Genomic DNA, 25,948 nt, shown 5'->3' on the forward strand with positions numbered 1-25,948 from the left:
CCTTATGAGGTGTCAATCGCCCCCCTACTGGGAGGTGCCTCCCAGTTAGGCTACTCGGGACTCAGGGACCCACTTGAGGAGGCAGTCGGTCCGTTCTCAGATCTCACACTCCATGCTGGGAGAACTACTGCTCTCTTCAAAGCTGTCAGACAGGGACGTTTAAGTCTGCAGAAGTTTCTGCTGCCTTTTGTTCAGCTATGCCCTGCCCCTAGAGGTGGAGTCTACAGAGGCAGGCAGGCCTCCTTGAGCTGCCGTGGGCTCCACCCAGTTCGAGCTTTCTGGCTGCTTTGCTTACCTACTCAAGCCGCAGCAATGGCTCAAGCCCCTTCCCCAGCCTCGCTGCCGCCTTGCAGTTCCATCTCAGGCTCTTGTGCTAGCAGTGAGCGAGGCTCCGTGGGCATGGGACCCTCCGAGCTAGGTGCAGGTCATAATCTCCTGGTGTGCCGTCTGCTAAGGCCATTGGAAAAGCGCAGTATTAGGGTGAGAGTGTCCCGATTTTCCAGGTGCCGTCTGTCACAGCTTCCCTTTGCTAGGAAAGGGAATTCCTGGACCTCTTGCGCTTCCAGGGTGAGGCAATGCCCCGCCGTGCTAGGTGGGCTGCACCGACTTGTTTGGCAAGCCCTAGTGAGATGAATCCGGTACCTCAGTTGGAAATGCAGAAATCACCTGTCTTCTGCGTCAGTCTCTCTGGGAGCTGCAGACTGGAGCTGTTCCTATTCGGCCATCTTGGCGCCACCAAGCCGCTGTTTTATTTTTATTTTCATTTAAAGATAATTTCTAATTTAATTATTATTTCTTTGTTCTTTGTGATTTATGGATTATTTAGAAGTGTGCTTTTAAGTTACAAATATTTAGAGTTTTCCTAGTTATTGTTACTGATTTTTAAATTTTACCTACCTTGGTCAAGTATCATTTTGTGTGATTTCAGTCTTTCTAAATTTATTAAGACTTGTCATATGACCCAGAATATTGTCTGTCCTGGCAAACGTAGCATATACACTTGAAAAGAATATGTATTTTGCTATTTTTGGGTGTAATATAAATATAAATTAAGATAATGTTCATATATTCTTTGTCTTTATTGATTTCTTTTGTCTGTGTAATTATATTGTTTGCAGAGAGAGGGGTGTTAAATCTCCAGTTATGATTGTGGAATTGTTTATAATCTAATTCCTTAAATTTTTGTATCATGTAAACATTTGTGATTGTTATGTCTTCCTTATTGACCTTTACTCTTGAAATCTATCTTATCTGATATTACTGTAACCACTCCACTGTCTTCTTATGCTTACTATTTATGTAGTATATCTTTCTCCATCCATTTACTTCCTGCCTGCCTGTGTCTTTATATTTAAAGTGTGTCTTTTGTAGGTGGTAAATAGTTGTTCCCTTTTAAAAAATCCATTCTGACCATCTCTTTTTACTGGAATGTTTAGTTCATTTGCTAGGTGGAGGACACCAACTTAATTCCATTTAAATTATTTCCTTAGAATGGGAGTTTCATATCTCATTTTCATATCACACTGGTAGTCTGTATGTAGTCCACAAACCATGTGAGGTCTGACTTAAAGGTTTTTTCCTCCTCTTCAGTTAGCACTGAGGTCAAGTCAGACAGGTTTCTGTCTTGTCTTTCTGTTTAGGGCAGATTTTTTTTACCCAGTTTGTATTTTCATTTGGGGTGTAACTCTTTGCATCAGCTTTTTTGGACTTCTCACATTGGGCCTGTCCTAGGCTTTTTCCTTTGGCCATTAGAGGAGAAGCTCAAACTCTAGTTGTTTCTGTGCCTGTAACTCTAAATTTCAGCCTTCATATTATTTTTGGACATTGAGGATCATTTTACTCTTCTACCAGCTCAGTAGTACATTTGGTACCTTTGTGCAAATTAGAAAAATGTTCCATTTCATCCAGGCCATTGCAACAACATGCTAGAGTAAATAGATTGGTGGGCAGAATATAGGCTGGATTTCAGTCCTAACTTGTCCTTTCAGTTGAGTATCTTTACAGGTGACCCTGTAAGCTTGTGTTGTAGTGCTGTTTTTGTTTTGACTGATGACACATGACAATCTTTTGTCATTTCAGATTTGTGTTCTGTGTGCAGACATTAATTTGGATTATGTTATTTTATAATTTGGATTGTGTTTAGCCAGCTATCTATAAAATTACATTTAAAAAATATATAGCACAGACAATTAGTGTTTGGTTCTTCAAAAGTAAAGAGTTAGTAATAACTTAAGTGTGGTCAACTACATCCTCTGAAAGGCCTTTTAGCTGCAAAATAATCAGATCCTGGGCTTACAGTAAGTACGTGAAATTTCTTAGGTTTTTATTTTTCTTCCCACTCCTCTGCTCTCTGATTCTGTGTCTCTCCTTTCTCTGACCTCCTCCCTCCCAGCCTCTCCCATCATCCAGATCAAAAAGTGAACTTTAATCGGGGTGGGACGGGTCAAACAGCAAACAAGGGCAAAAAGCAGGGTTGCTCTCAAAGACAGATAATAAATATCAATGATGAAATTCGTGACAAAGCCTTAGGCCGGTAGCAAGATAGGTGTACCAACCTGAGACTCTTGTATTAAGTTGAACCCTCAAAAGGGTATAAAATGGTTTTAAATTGGTAGATACCCTGGCTTCCAGCAGAAGGGAATGAAAACCTCTTCCAAAGGATCAACCATAATTTAGGGCCTTGGAAATCCTGCAGATTAAGTTAAACAAGTGTTCATAGTAAACAAAAACAATAAAAGCCAGCACATAAACAATGAAGTAAGCTGCCATGAATGAGCACTAACAAAAATAAGTTATCTATTTGATTTAGAACCCCTATCTCCTAAAGACTCTTAAGATGTTGGAATTGGATAGGAATATAAAGCAATTATGTGCGAAATAGTTAAAGAAATAAAAAATAGAATCACAAATGAGCACATAACAGGAGTGTGAAAAACAACCAGGAGGATATGAAAAGGACCTGAAAAAACTTTTTTTATTGAAAACTTTGTGATCTAAAATTTCATGGATGTGTTAAACAGTAAATTGGACCCAACTGAGGAAAGAGTTGGCTAACTGGCAGTTAGAACTGAAGAAATTTTCAAGACTGCAGGAAAAAAGGAAAATGAAAATATTAAAAGAGACGTTAAAGGATGGAATGAGGTCAGGTATGTCAAAATGAGTCCCAGAAAGATAGAATAGAGGAAGGAGGAGAGGTGATAACTGAAGAAATTCTGAGAATTTTTTTGACTTAATAGAAGACATGAGTTCATCAATACAGCAAGCCCAACATATACCCATCAGAAACAGAAAAACAAAACTTTAGTCAAACTATATAACCCCAAAGACAAAATGTTAAAAGCAGCTGGAGAAGAAAGATCACTTAGAAAGTAGTGTAAACTGGACTGATAACTCAACTTCTCAACAGTAAAAATGGAAGCCAGAAGGTGTTAGAATATTATTCTCAAATAACTGAGCAAAAATAACTGCCAGGCTGTTATTGTATATCAGCAAAAATATCTTTCGAGAAAAACGATATACAATAGAGATTTCAGACAAGTGAAAGCAGAACGTTTTCTACTAGCCGATCTTTCATTAAAGGTTTTTATTAAACATTTTAAAGGTTATTTTCGAGGAAGAAGGGGCATGGTCCCAGAAGGAAGAAAAGGAGTACATGGAAATTGGTAAACTCAAAAATTTTATTTTATTTATTTATTTATTTATTTATTTATTTATTTATTTATTTAAGATGCAGTCTTGCCCTGTCAACCAGGCTGGAGTGCAGTGGCGTGATCTCAGTTCATTGCAACCTCTGCCTCCCAAATTCAAGCCATTCTCCTGCCTCAGCCTCCAGAGTAGCTGGGACTACAGTCATGCACCATGCCGGGCTAAATTTTTTGTATTGTTTTAGTAGAGACGGAGTTTCGCCATGTTGTCCAGGTTGGTCTCGAACTTCTGATCTCAAGTGATCTGCCCACCTCGGCCTCCCAAAATGCTAGGATTACAGGCATGAGCCACCGCACCTGGCTGTAAACACATTCATTTTAACATTCATAGTCTGTACAAAATAAGGATTATGTGTAATTTGTGGAATTAAGAACAGAATAAAAACATGAAAAGACAGAAGCATGTCAGAGAGAGAGTCGGGGGAGTGATGAGAATTAAAATTATTTTAAGTCCTTGTCTTATTTAGGAAGGGAATTAAAATGGCAGCACTTCAAGGGTAACAACTAAAAGAGTAGAAACTGTATGATTGTCTCCCATAACCCAGCAAAGAGAAAATAATGAAATAGAAAAATAAGCAAATTCAATTTTTTTAAAAGCCAAGAAAGGAAAATAACCAGAGACAATAGGACAATAGACAATAAAAAAATGGTAGGAGTGTTCCAGATATGTTATTAATCCAATAAACATAAATGAGTTAAATTTACAGTTAAACCAGATTATAAATTTGAATATTTTAAAAATAGCCAATTAATTATAAGTTACATACTCAAAACATTAAAACATGGAAAGTTGAAAGTAAAAGGATTTTTTAAAATGTGCTATGCAAATATGAACGTATAGGAGGCTAGGATCATTGTTAATATCAAACAAAAATGACTTGAAGAGAAAAAGCATTATTAAAACTAGAGCTAATAGTTTGTGTACCAGGAAGGTACAGGTTGAGCACACCAAATTCAAAAATCTGGAATCTGAAATGCTCCAAAATTTAAAACTTTTTGAGCACTGACATGATGCTCAGAGGAAATGCTCATTCAAGCATTAAGAATTTCGGATTTTTGGAATTGTCATTGTCACCCAGGCATGCAAATATTCCAAAATCTGAAAAAATTCAGAACTGAGAGCACTTCTGGTCCCAAGTATTTCAGATCAGGGGTACTCAACCTGTATAACAATTTTAGATATCTAGTACTTAGTGAAGTAGTATCAAAACATATCAAGCAAAAATTGATAGTCGTGCAGGGAGAAATGGACAGACTTGCCATCATAATGGAAGGCTGCAGTACACTTCTTAATTGTTGGCATATCAAATAAGTAGCAAGTTAGTAAATTTAGGAGGGATTTGAACAATGTGATTAACAGACTTTAATGAATTGATGTATATAAAACACTGGAACCAACAGTTTGAAAATACCAGTTTTCTCCAGGGCACATGGCGTGTTTTAAAAAAAATTGTCCAAGCATTAGCATATGAAGTGAGTCTCAGCAAATGTCAATGACTCAGTGTCATAGAGACCACTTTTTTTTTTTTGCAGTGTAGTTTTAATTGCTGATTGGTTAAAAAAAAACTAAATTGCAAAACAAAACAAAAACCCCACAAAACCCCATACACTTGGGAATTTAAAACATATACTTGTAAATATGAGGTAAAAGAAATCTTGAGGAAAATTTTAAAATAGAGTTAACACATAATACAGAAATACAACATTTTTGGAATATAGTGAAAGACTTAATTCAAAGGAGATTTATTGACCAAAAAGCTTATTTAGAAAAGAAAAAAGGCCAGAATGTTGGGACCTAAGAATCTAACTTGAGAAGTTAGAATGAGAGGAACAGATTAAACCCTGAGAATGGAGAAAGAAGGAAACGAAGCAGAAATTAATGAACTAAAAAATAAAGATACAGTAGAATTAAAAAATCAGAAGTTAGATCTTTAAAAAGACAAGAGTAACAAACCTCTTGTGATTAGGAAGAAAGAATTCACAAATATATACTATTAGGAACAAATAGAGGAAATTTAATAATGGATACAGCAAAGATTTAAAAGGTAAAATCATTCTTGCTATTTCCAGAGGTCAATAAATGAGGAAATGAATAAATTTCTAGAAAAAATACTAAAATTGACTTAAAAAAGAGACAAGAATTTAGAAGATGTTTGCAACACACACTAAGCAAGAATCACCATCTACAAGAATATGGGAAGAATTCTTACAAATCAGTAAAATAAACAGTTCTTTAGGAAAATGATCAATAGCAAATAGGCATCTGGCAGAAAAACATAAATGGTGCATATACAAAAAACCCAACTTCATTACCAATAAAAGAAGTAGACCACATGAAATATATTTTCCTGTCTACTGGGAATAAATCATAAGAAATCTTACAGAAAAATGTGAGTCAAAAGGAATTCTTATATACTTCTGGTGGGAGTATAAAGTGGAATCAGTTGGAAATGGAATAGAAATGAATTTGGTGTAGTCTTGTAAAGCAGAACATTTGAATACCCATTGACCTGACCCTTGAACCGTCACATGTGTCCTCTAGAACAGGGGTCCCCAAACCCCAGGCCATGAAGCGGTACTGGTTCATGGCTTGCCAGGAACTGGGTTGCACAGCAGGAGGCGAGCGGCAGGTGAACAAGCATTACTGCCTGAGCTCCACCTCCTGTCAGATCAGCAGCGGCATTAGATTCTCTCATAGGAGCGTGAACCCTATTGTGAAGTGCACATGCGAGGGATCTAAGTTGCACACTCCTTTTGAGAATCTAATGTGTATAATGCCTGATGACCCGAGGTGGAACAGTTTCATCCCAAAACCATCACCTCCCCTTCCTCCCCAGTCCGTGGAAAAATTGTATTCCATGCAACCTGTGCCTGGCACCAAAAAGGTAGGGGACTGCTGCTCTAGAAAATCTGTACACAAAATGTACAATAATATTCATAGCATTATTGTTTATAATGTCAAAAAGTGGAAACAGCTCAGATGCTCATCAATATGAAGATGAATAAATAGATCATAATGTAATTATACAATATTATATAAAAAAATGAATGAACTATACCTAGTGAGTGTCAGAGATAAGATGTTTAATGAAAAGCAACTCTCAGGAAGCTACATACAGCATGAAACGTAATAAAGTCTCCAAACAAATGAGACTTGAAGTGTCTTGTTTAGGAATATATGTATATGTGAGGAAGCTTTAAAAAATCAAAAGAATAATAAGCATTAAATATTGACTCATGCTTACTTCTAGGGTGGAAGGTAAGGGGACAAGCTCGGGAATGGTATGGAGGTAGATGTGACAGTATTGCTAATGCATTGATTGTTCTACTGGGTAGGTGTTTGTTTTGTTACACTTCATATGCGTTACATATATGTTTTCATATATATCAATTATTACATTAAAATGTAAACAGATTCAGTTGGAAAAGACCTATTTTCCTTCAAAAGGATATTGAATGAAGATATGAATGTTTTAAAATACATGAATCAGTTAGTTGAAATGTAATAATTTAGTGGTATTACATAGGACTATCTCTTGAATAAAATGCCAGACCTCATTCTTTGTTAATATAAACCGAAGGAGTTTTTATAGTTGGATACACTATGCAGTTTTAGTAAAATAACATTTCAGAGTCTGTAATATAATGCCTAGTACTTAGAAAATTTTTAATAGTATTAGTCAAAAGGTCAGTGGGAAAGAATCTGTCTGCCCTTTTAGAGATATCTGTGGTCTGCTCAAAATGATCATTTTATATTATGAAAAATGCCTAACATGGCCCTAGTTTGTATACACTGTGTGTAGTAGTATTAGTTTTTTTGCGTGTGTGAACACTTCAGTTAGTGTTGAACAAAGAAAATTATATGCTCTTGTTATGTGTGCTTTAATTTAGATGCTTAATGGCTTTTAATGTTACAAAATAAGTTTATTATTATATTATGATCTCATTTGTATTATATTGTCTCGCTCTTCTGTATTTGTGGTGATATGGTCATGGTTTACGAAAACAATAATCCGTAAGAAATAGGTCATTAACAGTAGTTAACGTTTACTTGTGATCTATGGTAATGACTGATTTCTTTGGGATTACTGCAGTTATAAACCATAATTACAGATTATTACAGCAATAATTATTTTGTTAAGGAAAAAATGTTCTATGTTTGAACAGCTGCTAAAACAAGCACCCTGAACATTTCAGGATAAATAGAAAAATGGAAAATTATAATGGAAATTTAGTATTATTATAAAATGAGATTTAAAAAAAATTATAGATATGAAACTTATGTAGCAGATTTTTTTCTCTAAATGCAATTTAGATACGTGTATTTACATGGTTCTTTAAATTTTGTGAATGTAATTATGTTACCAAAATAACATTTTTTGTATATATTTAAGGTGTACGGCATGATGTTTTGATAAATACGTAGCGAAATGACTACTACAGTCAGCCAAATTATCCTATCACCTTCCATAGTTACCATTTTTAAAATTTTTGTGGTAAGAGCACTTAAAATCTAATCTTTTAGCAAATAAAGTATTACTAACTATAGTCCTCATGCTGTACATTAGTAGACTTACTCCTCCTGTACAACTGCAAGTTTGTACCATTTGACCTAATTTCTAATTTCCTCCCTTTCCTTACCTCTAGTAACCACCATTTTACACTCTGTTCCTATGTATTCTACCTTTTTTTAAGGTTCTGCATATGAGTGAGACCGTATAGTATTTTTCTTTCTGTTAGTAGCTAATTTCCGAAAGTAGCTTCTTAACATTTACTGTTTTGAACACTGTGAGTCTAAAATTGTTCAGGGTTAGGAAATAGTTTAACGTTTATGAGAAATACTGTTTCTCTTTCATCTAAATATCAAAATTGTATTTGACAGCTTAATAAGAACGTCTTTTTTTGAGACAGGGTCTCACTGTCACCTAGGCTAGAGTGCAGTGGTGCGATCTCGGCTCACTGCAACCTTTGCCTCCCAGGTTCAAGCTATTCTCCCACCTCAGCCTCCTGAGTTGCTGAGATTACAGGCGCATGCCACCATGCCCAGCTAATTTTGATATTTTTTGGTAGAGACAGGGTTTTGCCATGTTGGCCAGGCTGGTCTCGAGCCCATGACCTGAAGTGATGTGCCTGCCTCAGCCTCCCAAAGTGCTGGTATTACAGGCGTGAGCCACTGCAACCAGCTCCAATAATAATGTCTTTATATTTCACTGTTCATCTCTAACATTAATTCTAACTCATTCAGTACTTGCTCGATTTTTAAGGTTTAAGAAATATCTTCTTTTCATTTCTCATACAATAGAAACCATTGCTTTCTAAAACAGAGTAAATATGTACTCTATTTTTCTCTAAGTAAACTTCCTTTCAAAATTTACTGTAATTTTAGAAGAAAATGCTCATAATTAATCACATGCTATCTTTGCACAGCATTCTTTGATCTAATAAGTTTAATTCCAAGGTCACAGAAATTAGTACAAATTTAAATTTTGAGAAATTCACATTTTATATTTAGATACTTTACTCATTCTGTTTTTAAACAATGGTGCTCATCATACTGCATTGCAAAAATTATTGATTTTTTCCTCTATCTTATCTGTCTCTCACTAGGCTCAGTTCCCTGAGCATGGAGTCTCTCTCTCCCCTGCCCCAGCCTTTCCCATACATTTGTGTATTTAGTTATATCCCTAGCACAGAACATGATACAAAGTAGATACTTACAGCAGATGTTTTTCTGGAATGTCTTTTACTTGGAATTTTTTTTTTTCCTGGTTGGAGGGTGTTTGTTTTACTAACAGCATTAGAAAGTGTATATGGCTAGTCGTAACTAGCTTTAATTGTAATAAGCCTCTTTGGTAGAGAGGAAAGAACTTAAAAATTCTTATTGTGTGACTTCATTTTCTTGAGCAGCATCTGACGTAAGGCACAGAAAGAACATGGATGTTACATATTGGTATGTCTTATGTTTTTTTGTAGGTATGATACAGAACCACGTTAAAAAGGGGATGACAATTTAATAATAGTTACACTAGCCAACATTTACTGAGCACTTATAGCACTTACTCATATATTTTACATGCAAAATACCAGTTGGTGCTTGTCACAACTCTATGGGCCAGGTATTATTATCCTTGTAAGATTAAGTAGCCTAGTGTAAATAAGTACTAGAGGCAGGATTTGAACCTAGGCTGTGTTCTTATTAGCTAAATTGTACTGCTTCCCTTTTTTTAAAACAAATATTTATCTTCCAGTAGAGAAATATAAAAAATTACATGCACGGTGAGGTCTTTGTCTGTTTTCAGGTAGGCATGTTTTATCAAGGGCTAATAGGCAGGTATTTCTATGTTTACATTATTGGTAAGCCCAAAAAATTAAGCTTGCTTATTTTAAATTCAGCTATATCAACAAGTATTCATTTTATGTGTCTTGTTTTGGGAATCAAAAAAAGTGTGAAATGTCTCCTTGGTAATGATCCCCAAAGCATATGCAGTCTCATCTGTGATAAAGACTCAGGAGACAGCTAAAGAACAGTTCAGGGTTAGGACTCATAATGTGTTAAACGCTTAAGAGATTGTTGGATTATAAGATACTGTTGGATCTTGAAGGTCTGTCTAGCTAATTGACAACTGTATTGCTGGAGCATTCCCTTTTACCAATCTTGAGAGGAAGTATAATAGTTTGAGAATGAACTTTTGGAAATTCATTGCCTAGATTTCAGTCACAGCTCTGCACTTTTAAATAGGGACTTGTAATATTAAATGAATATAGATACAGTACTTAGAACAGTGCCTAGTGCAGAGTAACTACTATATAAATGTTTGCTATTATTTTTAATAGTAATAAAGGCTTGTTTTAAGAAACCAGTATCTAAAAATCTAAATTGATAAAACATAACAGGAAGGTAATTATTTACATTTAAGTGTTTTTCATTTTGAGAAATAATTTACAATAGGAGATTTTAAAAAGAATGACTCCTACAGAGAGTCATTACATATGCATTCACCAAAAGTCATGCTTGCAATGTTTTAGATTCACATCCATTACATGAAGTGTATAACATATCCTACACACAATTGGAGCATAGTCTGTTAATAGCGACCTCTGTAAAATTCTAAGAAATACTACTAATTGTCATTGTTTGGTAGTTATGTTATATAAAGTCGCTGTGAACAATAAATTAGCAAATACCGAACCATTGCTCCTGTGGGCCTCTGACCACAACATTTTCATCAGCTAACCAACACATGACCTTTTTTTAAGTATGTTTCTGTAGAAAGACACCTTATTCAGTATATATTGTCGATTTATTGACACTGAACTCATAGCCAGCAGCACTATTTTTCATGCTGGAACAAAGCTTATCTAACATGTGTTTTCTATATAAGACACATAACAAGCTTTTTTTCTTTAGGAACACTGCATAGCATTTCAGCATTATGCTTAGATCATCTTAAACAGTGAAATCACTAACAAAAAACACAAAAATGTGGCAGTAGATAGACCATTAAAAACATACTTGTTTACATTATGAAGCTGAAACAAGAAGGTAGAGTTTCACTTTGTTTGCTCTGAGCTTGAAACATGTGTACTGGACAACTACAGATTTTCACTGCTTTGCACATTAGCAGGTGACTGAGAGTATTGATTTTGGGATTATAAATAAATTTTATCAAGTAGGCAAATTCACAAATAATGGAATCTGTGAATAATGAGGATCAACTATATCATATCTTATATTGAGTATTATTGGAGAAGTTGCTTTAATTTAAGCAATAGAAATATAATTACTATTACCATTCATTATTAATAATGGGTCTACATTTTAATACATTTATTAAATTGGTAATGTTAACCTTTCCTTTCCTTTTTCATGCCATGTTTTCTATATAATGATTTCTTAATTCAGTAACCCATATCTGTTGATAATGTATAATATACCCAGCGTTGTTTTAGGCTCTGGAGATACAATAGAGAACAAAACAGACAAAAATACCTGTTTTCATGCAGTTTACATTCTGTTGGAATACACAGGTAACATAAAAGATAAGTATGTAAAATATGTTAGAAAATGTTAAGTGCTAAGATTTAAAATAATGAAGCAAGGAAAGAAGATAGGAAATGCTGGGGGGGATTGTATTATCTATTACCAGAACTTAATGGCTTATCAGGTAACAATTGCATTATTATCTCTCAGTGTTCTGGGGGTTGATAAGTCTCAGATGGTTCTCTTCAGGGGTCTTTCAGTCATTGTAATCAGATGACAGCTGGGGCTGGAGTTGCCTGAATGCTTCTTTACTCACCTGTCTGGTGTGTGTGCTGGAATGCTTAGAGTGTATACTCTATCTAGTTGGGCATTTCTCTCTCTGTTCAATCTCTCCAGATGGCTAGTTCGGGCCTCCTAATAGTATAATGGTCTCAGGGTATATGGTCTTCTTAAATGGTGGCAGGCTTCCCCAGAGTGAACATTCTCTGAGAGACTGGAGGAATTTGCCAGTTCTTGTAAAGGTTAGGCACAGTACTAGGATGGCGTCACTTTCACCAAATTCTATTGGTCAAAGCAGTTACAAATTTCCAAAGATTGGAAGAATAAACTCCACCTCTTGATGGCATATACATACATGGAAGGAATTGGTGATGAGTATTTGAAGACAGACTACCATGCTAAGTATTGAAAATTGATAGGATATCTTGGTAAGGTCTGAGAAGGTGACATCAAGTAAGACTGGTCAGCATAGTTGTATCTTTCCCCAGTTATATTAAACTGTGTGAGTACTGGCAAAGAGTAGTGGTGTATCGGACATAAACAGTCATGGTTTTGTAAGATGAGTATATCATAGCAAAAGAGGAGCTAAATGTAAGTGCAAGGCAGAGATGATAATGATTGACCATATAATTAAAGCTAAGTACCTAGGATAGATAATATGTGAAGGGTATAAGAGAGAGTGAAAAAATGGCAGATTCCCAAAAACTAATAAAAGAGATCAGCAAACTTGCAGGATACGGGATCAATAAATAAAATCAATGGTATGTCTATTTTTTAACAATCAGCAATTGAATATGAAAGGAAGAAAGGAAGTCCATTTATAGTATTATCAAAAAGGATAAAATACTTAGGCATAAATTTTAAAAAGAAGTGTAAGAATTATATACCGACACTGTAACAGTGTTGAAAGAAATTAAAGATATAAATAAACAGAAAGACTTCTCATCGTCGTGGATCAGAAGACTTAATATTGTTAAGATGGCAGTACTCTTCAGATTGATCTCCAAATCCGGTGCAATCCACTTTAAAATCCCATGGGTTTTTTGCAGGGATTGACAAACTGTTCCTAAAGTTCATATGGAAATCCATGGGACCCAAAATAGCCAAGATAATCTTGTAAAATAATGAAATTGGAAGACTCATATTTTTTTTTATTTCAGAATTTACTAGAAAACAACAGTAATCAAGACTGTTTGGTACCAGCATACAGGTAGACAGACATATAGGACCTGGGTGCGGTGGCTCATGCCTGTAATCCCAGCAGTTTGGGAGGCCAAGGTAGGAGGATCACTTGAGCCCAGGATGTTCAGGAACAGCCTGGTCAACCTAGTGAGACACCTCATCTCTACAAAATATTTTAAAATTAGGTAGCTATGTTGATGTGGGCCTGTGATCCCAGCTGTTCGGGAGGATCACTTTTGCCTGGGATTTAGAGGCTGCAGTGAGCTATGATTTTGTCACTGCCCTCCAGCCTGGGTGACCGAGTAAATCTTAAGTGACTTTGGGTTGGGCAGCTATTTCTTAGATATGACACCTGAAGCAGACAACAGAAAACAAATTAGATAGACCAGAGTTTATCTAATTAATTAGACAAATTAGATAAAACAGAGTTGCAAATTTTGTGCATCAAAGCATGCCATCAAGAAAGTACAGCCCACAGAATGGGAGAAAATATTTGCATATCATATGACTGATAAGAGATTAGCATCTAGAATACATAAATAATTATTACAACCCAGTAATGAAAAAGACAACCCTTAAAAATGGGCAATGGATTTGAATAGACATTTCTCCAAAGAAGACACACAAATGACCACTAAACATATGAAAGGATGCTCAACATCCTTAGTTATTAAGGAAAGGCGTATCAAAATTATAATGAAATACCTCCTCACACCAACTAGGATGGATATAATAAAAAAGAAAACTACAAGTGTTGGCAAAGATTTGGATAAATTTGATCTTCATACATTGCTGGTGGGAATGTAGAATGGTGCAGCCGCTTTTGCAAACATTATGGCAGTTCCTCAAAATGTGAAAAGTAGAGGTGCCATGTAACTCAGCAATTCCACTTCTAAGTATACTCAAGAGAAATGAAAACATACATCCACATAAAATCTTGTACACAAATGTTCATAGCAGCATTATTTATAATAGTCAAAAGATGGAAACAATCCAAGCTTCCATCAACTGAATGGGTAAATGAAATGTGATATATCCATAGTAACCAAAACAGCATGGTATTGGTATAAAAACAGACACATAGACCAATGGAACAGAATAGAAAACCCATAAGTCGTATGTTTACAGCCAATTGGTTTTTGACAAAGGTGTCAAGAACATACATTGGGGAAAGGATACCCTCTTTAATAAAATGGTGCTGGGAAAATTGTATATCCAGATGTGGAAGAATAAAACTGGACTTCTACCTCTTACCGTATACAAAAATGAAATCTAGATGGATTAGACTTAAGACCTGAAACTATAAAACTACTAGAAGAAAACATGGGGAGACACTTCAGGACATTAATCTATGCAAATATTTTATGGCTAAGACCTCAAAAGCACAGGCAACAAACATAAAAATAGACAAATGGGATTATATTAAGCTAAAAAGCCCCTTCACAGCAAAGGAAACAGTCAACAGAGTGAAGAGAGCCTGTTGAATGGGAGAAAATATTTGCAAACTGACCAGGGAGGAATAGAATATGCAAGGATCACAAATAACAGTAAAAAAAACAAAAACAAAAAAAAAATAACTCAAATAAGTGGCAGTCAAATGACATGAATAGACATTTCTCAAAAGGAGAACATACAAATGGCCAATAGGTATATGAAGAAATACTTAACATCACTAATCATCAGGGAAATGCAAATCAAAACCGCAGTGAGATGCCATCTTACCCCAGTCAGAATGATTATTATTAAACAGAAAAAATAACAGAAGCTGGCAAAGATGTGGATAAAAGGGAACTCTTACACACTGGTGGTGGGAATGTAAATTAAAACAGCCATTATGGAAAATAGGGAGATTTCTCAAAAATGAAAAATAGAACTACCGTATTGTCCAGCAATCCCAATACTGGGCATTTATCCAAAGGGAAAGAGTTCAGTATGTTAAAAGAATACCTGTACTTCCATGTTTATTGCAGCACTGTTCACAATAGCAAAGATATGGAATCAACCTACATTCCCGTTGATGGATGGATAAAATAATGTGGTATATATACATAGTAGAATACCGTTAGGCCATAAGAAAGAATGAAATCGTGTCATTTGCAGCAACATAGGTGGAACTGGAGGTTAAGTGAAATAAGCCTGGCACGGAAAGACAAATACCATGTGTTCTTATACATATGTGGGACCTAAAAAATTCATTTCATTGAGGTAAAGAACAGAATGATAGGAGAAGCTGAGAATGGTGTGTGGGTGGACTGGGGAGTGGGGCAGGATGAAGAGAGGTTGGCTAATGAGTACAAACATACAGTTAGATAAAAGGTATAAGTTCTAATGTTTGATAGAGTAGGGTAACTATAACTATAGTTAACAGTGTATTCCATATTTCAAAATAGAAGGCAGGATTTGAATTATTCTCAACACAGAAATGGTGAATACTCGAGGCAATAGATATGCCAAATACCCTGACATGATCATTAAACATTCTTTGCATGTAACAAAGTATCACATGTACCCCACAAGTATGAACAAATATGGTGTATCAATAAAAATAAATAAGATCTATACAAACAATGGAATGTTATTCAGCTATAAAGAAAAATAAGTATTGATATGTGCTAAAACATGGGTGGTCCTTGAAAACATTATGCTGACTTGAAAGGAGATAGTCACAACACTCACTTATTGTATGATTCCATTTATATGAATTGCCCAGAATGGGAAAATCTAATGAGACATAAAGTAGCTTAGTGGTTGTTTAGAAGCTAGGGGCATGGGGGTAGGATGCAGAATGACAGCTAGTATGAAAATGTTCTAAAATTAGATTGTGGTGATGCTTGCATAACCCTGTTAATTTACTAAAAAACATTGAATTATATCCTTTAAGTGGGTTACTTGTATGGTATGTGAATTATATTTCAGTGAAGCTGTTCAAAAAGTGATAGGCTCATGGATTGAAGATTCCCAGTAAAACAAAGGATTATGGAGTTGTGAGATTCATCTTTGTAGATATTGAAATCACTAGTGATTATGATATAAATATTGTTGGAAAGACTGACAGCCAAGAACCAATACTTTCAAAAAACAGGGGGAAATAATCTGCAGGAGAGTAGATAATTGCAATAAGAAGGGATATTTGTTAGTGTTGTTGATGATGTAAGATGTAAAGGTGAATGCTTTCATGATGAAGAAAGAGAAAATATTAAGTAGAAATGAGGAACGTGAAGATCACCTACTCCATATTCAAGGCCCAAGATACACGAGAAGTGGAAGAAAAAGCAGCTACCACTTGATAGAGCCTACAGAGAAAGCAGGGTCATCAGAGTAGAGCTTCTATGATAGACTTTTATATTGACCCTAAAACACTGAAATTCATAAGGTAACTTTCTGGATACTTTCAGCTTCCTACATGAAGTTTTTGATCTGTTACGTTTTTCATGAATTGTATGTCATGAAACTTGAGTCTGTTTTTCAGTGGATTACTTGATCAAATTAGTGTTCTTACTCTCCTACTTAATCTATTTCACATTCCTAATGTATAAGGCTGTATAATTGGTCAGTTCTGGTTTATTTTTGTTTTGTGAGAGAATAAAGGATGTGAATACTTGCCAGGTTAGATTTCTAATTTACAGGAATCTTGTCACCCTAATAGGTTGATATGTCTCACCAAAAATTATAAAAGAGTTGTTGATTAATTGTAGTATAATAATGACTGCTAGTATCCATGGGAGAACAGAAAGAATTTGTTCTTTTTCTAACTTTTATTTGTCCTTTCTGAGTCTTCTAACAAGCAGATAGCCTCTTTTCTTCATTATTCAGTTCCATACCTTTTAAAAAAACATTTTTACTTGAAAGCGTTTCTTAATCAGAAACAATTGATTTCAGTATTATGAAATAGCCCTCTCATCTTTGAAAAATCAGTCTCCAAGAATAGCATAAAATTTGTTTTTAGCAAGATAATTTTATGTTGTTAATTATTTGTAAAGGTCTCAAAAGTACTGAAGGATCACCTAGATCAATGAATCCAGAGATATAAAATAATATACCTTAAGCAAAAATCATTGAATAAATACCTCCATTTCTAAATTAGTCAATTTCAGCTGCCCCCAAAGTAAGATTTATGAAAACTGTAGATGTTGCCATTTGTGCCACTGCCTTAAATCTATTTAATCCTCTACTACTATCAGCTGTGAAGTTAACTCTACCATCAAACAATGTGAAATCTTGGATTTTTTAATACATCATGCATAAAAATACAGAAGGAACAAATTTATTACTATCTATTATGTTCCAAGCAGGGGAAATATTTAAAATGATCACACTGGTACTATCATGACATTGACCATTCAGAAAAGATGCTGGTCCTTGGATCATGAGAGTACATCCTGACTGAATAACAGATCTGGTCCTAGACAGTTTAGTGTTTTGTACTCAAATTTATTTTCAGTCATGTCTTCATGGTAGACATTGTTTTTTCCATTTTACAAATGAAAACCCTAAGACTTAAAGAGATAAGTAACTTATGCAAGATCACATAGCAAATTAGTAGAGCTGGGATTCAAATTAGTTTTATTTGGCTCTAAATTCTATGCCATTTTCAGTGTTCTACTGCCTTGATAAACTTAAAACCGATCTGCTTTCTATCCAGAACTGAGTTCACAATAATTTATCACTCATTTGGAAGAACAGATCATTGTGCTGATTTTGGAATTTCCCCCAAGATAAGCTACGTTTCTATGAATACTTACTAAACTTTTTTCTTCCTTATTCTATATTAGGACGTCTTGCATGGCTGGTATACTTAGTTGGGACAGTTGTAGGAGGAAGATTAACATATACCAGTACAGATGAGCATGATGCTATGGATGGAGAATTATCCTGTCGGTAAGTAAGAGCTATGTAATTTACTGAAATTCACTAAATAGTTAAAAAAAATTAGTTATTGAACTAGTATTATGAGTGAAGACATTTTGTATGTGGCCTTTTGAGGAAGGTATTATTTCCCTTTTTATTGGTGAGAAAACCAAGGCTCAAAGGTTAAATGATTTGTAGAAGTCAAATCTCTAATAAGTGATAGACTCAAAATATTTTGTACATGTTTGTGCAAATAATGTGATAAAGATTTAGGTTGCTTTTTATTACTTAGGATGTGAGCAAGCACATACAGTTGGTGTGTATTGGAAAGGTGGCAAAATTGGGTGACATACATCCAATCAGAAAGTATTAGGTAGTCAGTTACCCATCGCAGGTTTTGTCACCTATTGGCCACAGTCTTAGGAAAAAGCAGTTGAATTATTCTCTTCAAGTTTCTATTCTAACCTGAGGAAAATTTCTATATATGAATAATACAAGTGAATTGATTTTCCATATATTTTAATTTATTTTTAATAACAAATCTCCTTATAACAGCGTCATACATGTTTTTATTGAAGACTTAAACATTCAAATGAAAATAAAAATTATATACTAATTTGGAGATAACCACTACTGTTATTTTGTAAAGTCCGTTTGAGTCTTTTTAATTAACGTGTATGGGTGTATGTTTACTGCATGTGTGTTTTTCAACTTTTCTTAAACATTACAAAACAATGTAAGATGGAGCTAATAATAATACCTAACTTATTTTGGGCTATTATAAGGAATTTATTTTTTTAAATGCTTAGAACAGTGCCTGGCAATTAGTGGTATATTTTACACACACACACACACACACACACACACACACACCCCAACCCCACCCACCCACCTCAACACCACTTTTTAAAATCAAATGCAATATCAACATTTTACCTGGACATTAAATTTTCTAAATTTAGAAAATTCCTTGTTTTTGGAATTTTAGGTTGTTCCTCAATTTTTTTTATTATAAATTACTTTTAGATATACTAAATTGTTTTTAGTTATATCTTTATGTAGACTGAAATAATTTCATTAGAGTTCGTTCCTAAATGCAGAATAGCTGGTCAAAAGTTATGTAGCATTTTAAAGACTTTCAATACTCAATACCACACGGTGTTCTGAAAAAGGACCAATGTATCCTCTGAACCAAGGGTCCCCAACCCCTGTACTGGTCCACAGCCTGTTAGGAACTGGGCTGCATAGCAGGAGGTGAGCTGCAGGTGAGCAAGGATTACTGCCTGAGCTCCGCCTCCTGTCAGATCAGCAGGGACATAGATTCTCATAGGAGGGTGAACCCTAAACTACACATGTGAGGGATCTAGGTTGCATGCTCCTTACGGGAATCTAATGCCTGGTGATCTGAGGTGGAACAGTTTCATCCTGAGACCGTCACCCCACACCACCCCAAACCCCATCCATGGAAACATTGTCTTCCAGGAAACTGGTCCCTGGTGCCAAAAAGGTTGGGGACCACTGTGCTGAACCCAAATTGTATGATAGTTAACATTTGTTAGTGGTTGAACTGCCAGATAGTAGGGTTCATATTGTTGCCAGTTTATAGGTAACAAATGTATTATTTCAATTGGTATTTATTTGGTTACTAGTAGAATCAAACATTCTTTTCCACTCCTAGCTTTGCCATTTTTTCTTTGTGATTTTTATATCTATATTGATTATATTATTTACCTGCTTTTCTTTTGTGATGATCTCTTCTAACTTATTTGAAAGAGCTCAGTATATATATATATCTATATATATATATATATATGCTCAGTGTGTATATATATATATGTATATATATGCTCAGTCTGTGTATATATATATATGCTCAGTCTGTGTATATATATATATGCTCAGTCTGTGTGTATATATATATATATATATATATATATGCTCAGTGTATATATATATATATATATATATGCTCAGTGTATATATATATATATATATATATATATATATATACACTGAATGAACTCTGTAGAGGAACGAACTCTAATGAAATTATTTCAATCTACATAAAGATATAATTAAAAATAATTTAGTTATATCTAAAAGTAATTTATAATAACAAAAATTGAGGAACAACCTAAAATTCCTGTATATATATATATATATATCTCAGAGATCTTAATATTTTGCTCCTCATTTTGAAAATGTTTTCTCTGTATTTTTACTTCAGAAATTTCTTCTTTACTGGCTTTAAATATTATGTATTCAGATCTATGGACTTTTTCCTTCATATTTCTCTGCTGCTTATATTTAGAAAGATTTTTTTTCCACTTCTGATTAATGAAAATATCCACCTGTATTTTCTCCCAGCTGTCTTTGGTATTAATAGCTTTTTATATTTATTTTTAATATATCTTGATATTTGGTTTCATATGTTTTTTCCAAATTTTCCAATTAATGCCAATCCTACCCTCTACTGATTTGAAGTGGCACTTATATCTTACACAAAATTATTTCATCTTTTTTCAGGCCTTTCATACTTTTCCATTGATCTTAGAAGTATATTGTTATATATTTTTACCCTATTAAAGACCTTAAAATTGTTATACCTACTTGTGATATTCTCCTTCATTTTTATTATTAAATATATTTCTAAGTGCTTAATGAATTTATTGTACTTTTGGATAAAAAATTTCATTTTGTTCCATTTCCTTTTCAACCTTTAAACTATTTCTTCAATAAAATGTGAATCTTCATGGACCATGAATATTTTTAGTTTTTCTAAGACTTATTATTTTCTATATCAAATTGAATTACTTGAAAATATGAATAACAGGTGTTTGGGGCCTCCTTAAAGTGCTTTAGTTACTTTTCAACCAAACAAAAAATTTGCTACTCAATCTCTCGAGTAGCTGGGATTATAGGCATATGCCACCACGCCTGGCTAATTTTGTATTTTTAGCAGAGATGGGGTTTCTCCATGTTGGTCAGGCTGGTCTCGAACTCTTGACCTCGGGTGATCTGCCTGCCTTGGCCTCCCAAAGTGCTGGGATTACAGGCGTGAGCAACTGTGCCCAGCTGATTTTTTTTTAAGTTTAATCATCAAGCAGGGAAATAAACGACTGGGCGCAGTGGCTCATGCCTGTAATCCCAGCACTTTGGGAGGCCAAGGTGGGCGGATCACGAGGTCAGGAGATCGAGACCATCCTGGCTAACACGGTGAAACCCCGTCTCTACTAAAAATACAAAAATTAGCCAGGTGTGGTGGCGGGCATCTGTAGTCCCAGCTACTCTGGAGGCTGAGGCGGGAGAATGGCGTGAACCCCGGAGGCAGAGCTTGCAGTGAGCCGAGATCGTGCCACTGCACCCCAGCCTGGGCAACAGAGCGAGACTCTGTCTCAAAACACACACACACACACACACACACACACACACACACGCGCACACTGCCACTATCTCGTGAGAAAACGTATATTAGGAAATAAAGTAGGTATATATTTGCCAATGAGAAACAAATATTAGTTTTTTATTTAAGCAGCAAACGTATTGAACATGTTGAACTAAGATTTGTGTTTTGGCCTGCATTCCCTGGAAAACAGAGCCTTGGGTGAAGTTCATGGGCCAATATTTTTCTGGAGGTTAGGGAGAAGAGTACATTTTTAGAGAAGAAAGAATAAGAGGAAAGGGAAAGTAAGTGAGACAATAAGAGAAAACAAATACAGTCAATCTTTATTATTCCTGGATTCCATTTTTTGTGAATTTGCCTACTTCATAAAATGTGTTTCTAATCCCAAAATCAGTACTCATGGTGCTTTTGTGGTCATTTGCAGACATGTGCTTAGGGATGAAAAAATTTGAGTTTTGTGTTGCACTTTCCCAACTGAGGTTGAACAAGGTGATACTCTGCCTTGTTTCAGCTCTTGTACTGCAAATAATTGCCCTTTTTATATTCTGTTTAGAGCCACATTTTTCATACTGTTGTGCTTTTTGTTGGTGCTTTCAGTGTTTAAAATCGCCCAGCTGTATTGTTAAAGTGCTATTTAGTGTTCTTAAATACAAGAAGGCTGTCATGTGCCATACATGGGTTAGATTAGCTTTGTTTGGGTACCAGTGGGAGTACTGTGAATACTGCAGTAGTCTGTGAGTTCAGTGTTAACAAGTCAACAACATATTTGAAAAAGCCTCTCTAAACAGAAATACACATGAAACAAGATTGCAATCCATTGACCAAAATGTTGTCACCAGAGGCTTGCAGGAACCTAATCCTGTATTTTACCTAGGAGCAATGGTTCATTATTCACTAATTCAGTGTTCACAGTGACTACAGAATATAACTACCATGAATAATGAGAACCAACTATGTAAGGTGGTGTATTACTGAGAAAATACAACTGGTTGCTTGCTTTTATAGGAATTTTCCCTGGAGGCCACACGAAACCACTTGTGCCTCAGAACAACTCATGACTGGGGGAGTAAGGACAAGCAGTATATCCATTGGCTTCTTTCTGTGTCTCGTTTCTTACTGGTTAATGTCTACTCCTGGGGTATTTCACTTTTCCACACTTCTTAGTTATGTTTCCTGGCCTCTTTGAGGAGCTGCTGGGAAGACAGAGCTTTAATTGGTCCTGTTAGAGTTATGAACAGGAATGGTGGTTTGTCTCTCTTTTCTGGGAAGATACATAACTCCAGAAACTGTGAGAGTCTTTTCTGGGGCTACAAGACAAGTGGCTGAAGCCAGGGGTGAGGTGAGAGGTGATAGTGTGGTTGGTGGGTGTGCAAGCAGGGCCAAGCAAATTCAAGGTGGGGCATATTCTAGGACTTACACAACAGTCTGGAAATAAATATGTATTTTAGAATATTGAGATTCTAAACTAAGAATGATGTCTTACGTAAAATTACAAAAAAAATCACTTTCATATGAAGATGTTCCAAATAATTGGAACTACAGTACTGTGACTTTCTATAAGTTATATATAATAGCATTCCAACTCCTCAGAGAACACTACCAAATTAGAAGATCATGAAGCTCCTGCCAAAACTTCATGTGCTATTTTGGCATGAAAAGTTGAAGAGTCATAAAAGCTCCTAACATTGTGATGATTTATAATTATGACTGAAACATGCTACTTTAAACATAGCAAATAAATATATTTACACTCAGGCCACATAATTCTAATTAAATAAAGACATTTATAGTCATTTTAGTTTCATTCATCATGACTAAAATGAAAACCTCTTGAGAGATTCTCCAGGGATTTTGTCTTATTCATCATGCATCCTGTTAACTCATTTATGTATGCAGTTGCAATTTTTAAAATTTTTGCTATCAGACCTTGGCGATGACCTTGAGCAGTAGGATATAAATAACTCCCACATGCTTAGCGTTCCAATAATGGAACACTAGGCATAAATGTAATCCACTAGTGCTAGTAGATTGAGTGCTAGCTTCTTTCAGACCTATTCTACTTAGCTGTGCCACCCTGTGTCTCTCATTGCTCTCACCTACCCATCTCCCAGTCATCCCTCATTATCAAGACTTTAATAACTAGCTCAGAGTTTTCCTCTCTCTCCCAAACCCTGCTATTATATAAATAACTTCAGCTGCTTTCTGATCAGATAATATTTCTCCCATTTTCTTACCCATAAGCCTCCAGTGGCTTCCTATCACACTTGAGACAAATTTCAAGGCCCTTGTGATGGCCCAGAGTATCCTGTGCTACTTCTGACCTCATTTCCTACCCTTTCCCATTTAACACTGGCCTCCTTGCTGTCCTTTGAGTATTACCAGTGTGTTTTCACTTTAGGGCCTTTGCACTTCTCTTTCTTCTGCTAAGAATACTTTCTTCCAGATGTTTGTATAGTACATTTGGCCCTTGAACAATGTGGGAGTTAGGGGCACCAACCTTCCACACAGTTGAAAATCTGCCTGTAACTTTAGACTCCCCCCAAATTTAACTACTAATAGCCCACTGCTGACTGTAAACCTTATTGATAACATAAACAGTCAATTAAAACATATTTTGTATGTTATATGTATTCTATGCTGTATTCTAACAAAGGAAGCTAGAGAAAAGAAAATGTTACTAAGAAAACCATAAGGAAGAAAAAGTAAATTTTCTGTTCATTAAGTGGATCTTCATAAAGGTCTTTATCCTCTTCATCTTAAACATTGGGTAGGCTTAAAAGCTGAGAAGGCGAAGTTGGTCTTACTCTCTCAGGGATGGCAGAGGCGCAAGAAAATTTGCATATAAGTGGACCTGCACAGTTCAAACCTGTCTTGTTCAAGGGCAAACTATTCTTCCTCACTTCAGTCAGGTCTGTACTCAGATGTCTTTTTCAAAGAGGGCTCCTCTGACCTCCCTATCCAAAATAGCATCCTTACCCCACTTTATTTTTCTTGATAGTACTTATTACCTCTTGATGTTGTTTGTTCTACTAGAGTAAGGGAAGGAGTAAGCTTTGTTTTGCTTACTGCTGTATTTTATCTCCTCTGTGTAGCAAAACCTTAACCCTGAGGGAATTTAGGGTTTTCTCTAATTTGTTGAGTGATAGTAACAGAAATTGCACACTTCTGTGGATAGGACCCATTGTCACTTGTTGTTTTTAACCTCAACTAGGCCCTCAGCATTGCTCAGTGATTCTATTTTGTTTCAGTAATTCTTGTCTTCTGACTTCTAAACACCTATTGGGCTGTTTCACTGGGATGTTGTATCCCACATGCACCTCTAATTCAGTGACTAAAATTAAACTCATCTTTTCCATCACCTAACCCTGGCTCTCTTCACATGTCTCTTCATCATACACTCAGTTTCCCAAGCCTGAATCGTGAGAGTTATCCTTAACTTTTTCCCTTTTTCTCTCTAGCATTCATATAGTCATCAAGTCCTGTCAGTTCTATCTTTTAGTTACCTCAGTTAGTCCACCTATCCTATCTCCTCTGCCAGTTTAGCTACTATCATCTTTCACCTGGATTAGTAGTAAGTTTTTAAACGGACTTCTTGCTTCCTTTTGCAGCCAGAGTAATCTTTCTAAAGTACAGATCTGATTATGTCAATGCTTGGCTTGAACTATGCAATGACGTCATTGTTTTTAAGATGAACAACATGGCTTATCAGGCTGTTCATTATCTGGCTCCTGCCTGTCCCATTAGCCTCATTTTCTGCCATTCACTACATTATAGCCATGTTGAACATTATACAGCTGAGTAGCTGGGATACAGGCTCCTGCCACCACACCTGGCTAATTTTTTTATTTTTAGTAGAGACAGGGTTTCACCGTGTTGGCCAGGATGATCTCAAACTCCTGACCTCAAGGGATCTGCCTGCCTTGGGCTCCCAAAGTGCTGGGATTACAGGCGTGAGCCACTGCACCCGGCCCCCTGCCCCTTTAGATGGCTACACATGCTTTCCTTTTTGTCGCAACACTATGGCTTTGCCTTGTTCGTCCTAGAATATTAGGAAATAGCATTTGTTATAGGACTTGTCATTCTTTATTCCAGCTGCTTCTTTTATCTTCCTCTTGATAGATTATAGATTTCTAGAGGACTGGGGATATATAGGTCTTGTACTTTGTTGTATTTTGAATGCCTGACACATATCTGACGTATAGTGGGCCCTCAAATTTGTTGACTGAATAAATGCTTATTTAGTTGGATACCTAGGAAAATTCAGCACAGTTATCCAAAATTCATTTCATTGTGTTTGAAATGGCATGCTTATACTTGGATCAAAAATTATTTATCTTTTTATTCTGTGCTTTTTACCAGAAATAATTTAAGATAAACGAATAATACATGTAGGACAATAAATTGAAACTGGGAATGGATATTATATACACATTGAACATCCCTAATCCAAAAATCTGAAATTTGAAATGCTTCAAAATCTGAAACAGTTTGAGCATCAACATGAATCTCAAAGGTCATGCTTAAAGGAAATGCTCATTGAAGCATTTCAGA

The 25,948-nt window shown here is 35.5% G+C and overlaps 1 protein-coding gene across 21 annotated transcripts in view; it reads left to right on the top strand.

The window, feature by feature from the left end:
• The window catches only part of RANBP17 (RAN binding protein 17), a 437,998-nt gene that overhangs the window by 73,661 nt on the left and 338,389 nt on the right, over positions 1 to 25,948 (top strand). For all 21 annotated transcript variants that reach the window (XR_007058628.1, XR_941108.3, XR_007058630.1 and 18 more), the window contains one exon: positions 17,919 to 18,024. Coding sequence is in view for 17 of the 21 variants with exons in the window: in XM_011534627.2 (XP_011532929.1) it covers positions 17,919 to 18,024 (106 nt within the window). In the remaining 4 variants the exon portion in view is untranslated. The remainder of the gene's footprint in view (positions 1 to 17,918; positions 18,025 to 25,948) is intronic.

The sequence above is a fragment of the Homo sapiens genome, chromosome 5, assembly GCF_000001405.40.
Source record: "Homo sapiens chromosome 5, GRCh38.p14 Primary Assembly".
Classification (NCBI taxonomy): domain Eukaryota; kingdom Metazoa; phylum Chordata; class Mammalia; order Primates; family Hominidae; genus Homo; species Homo sapiens.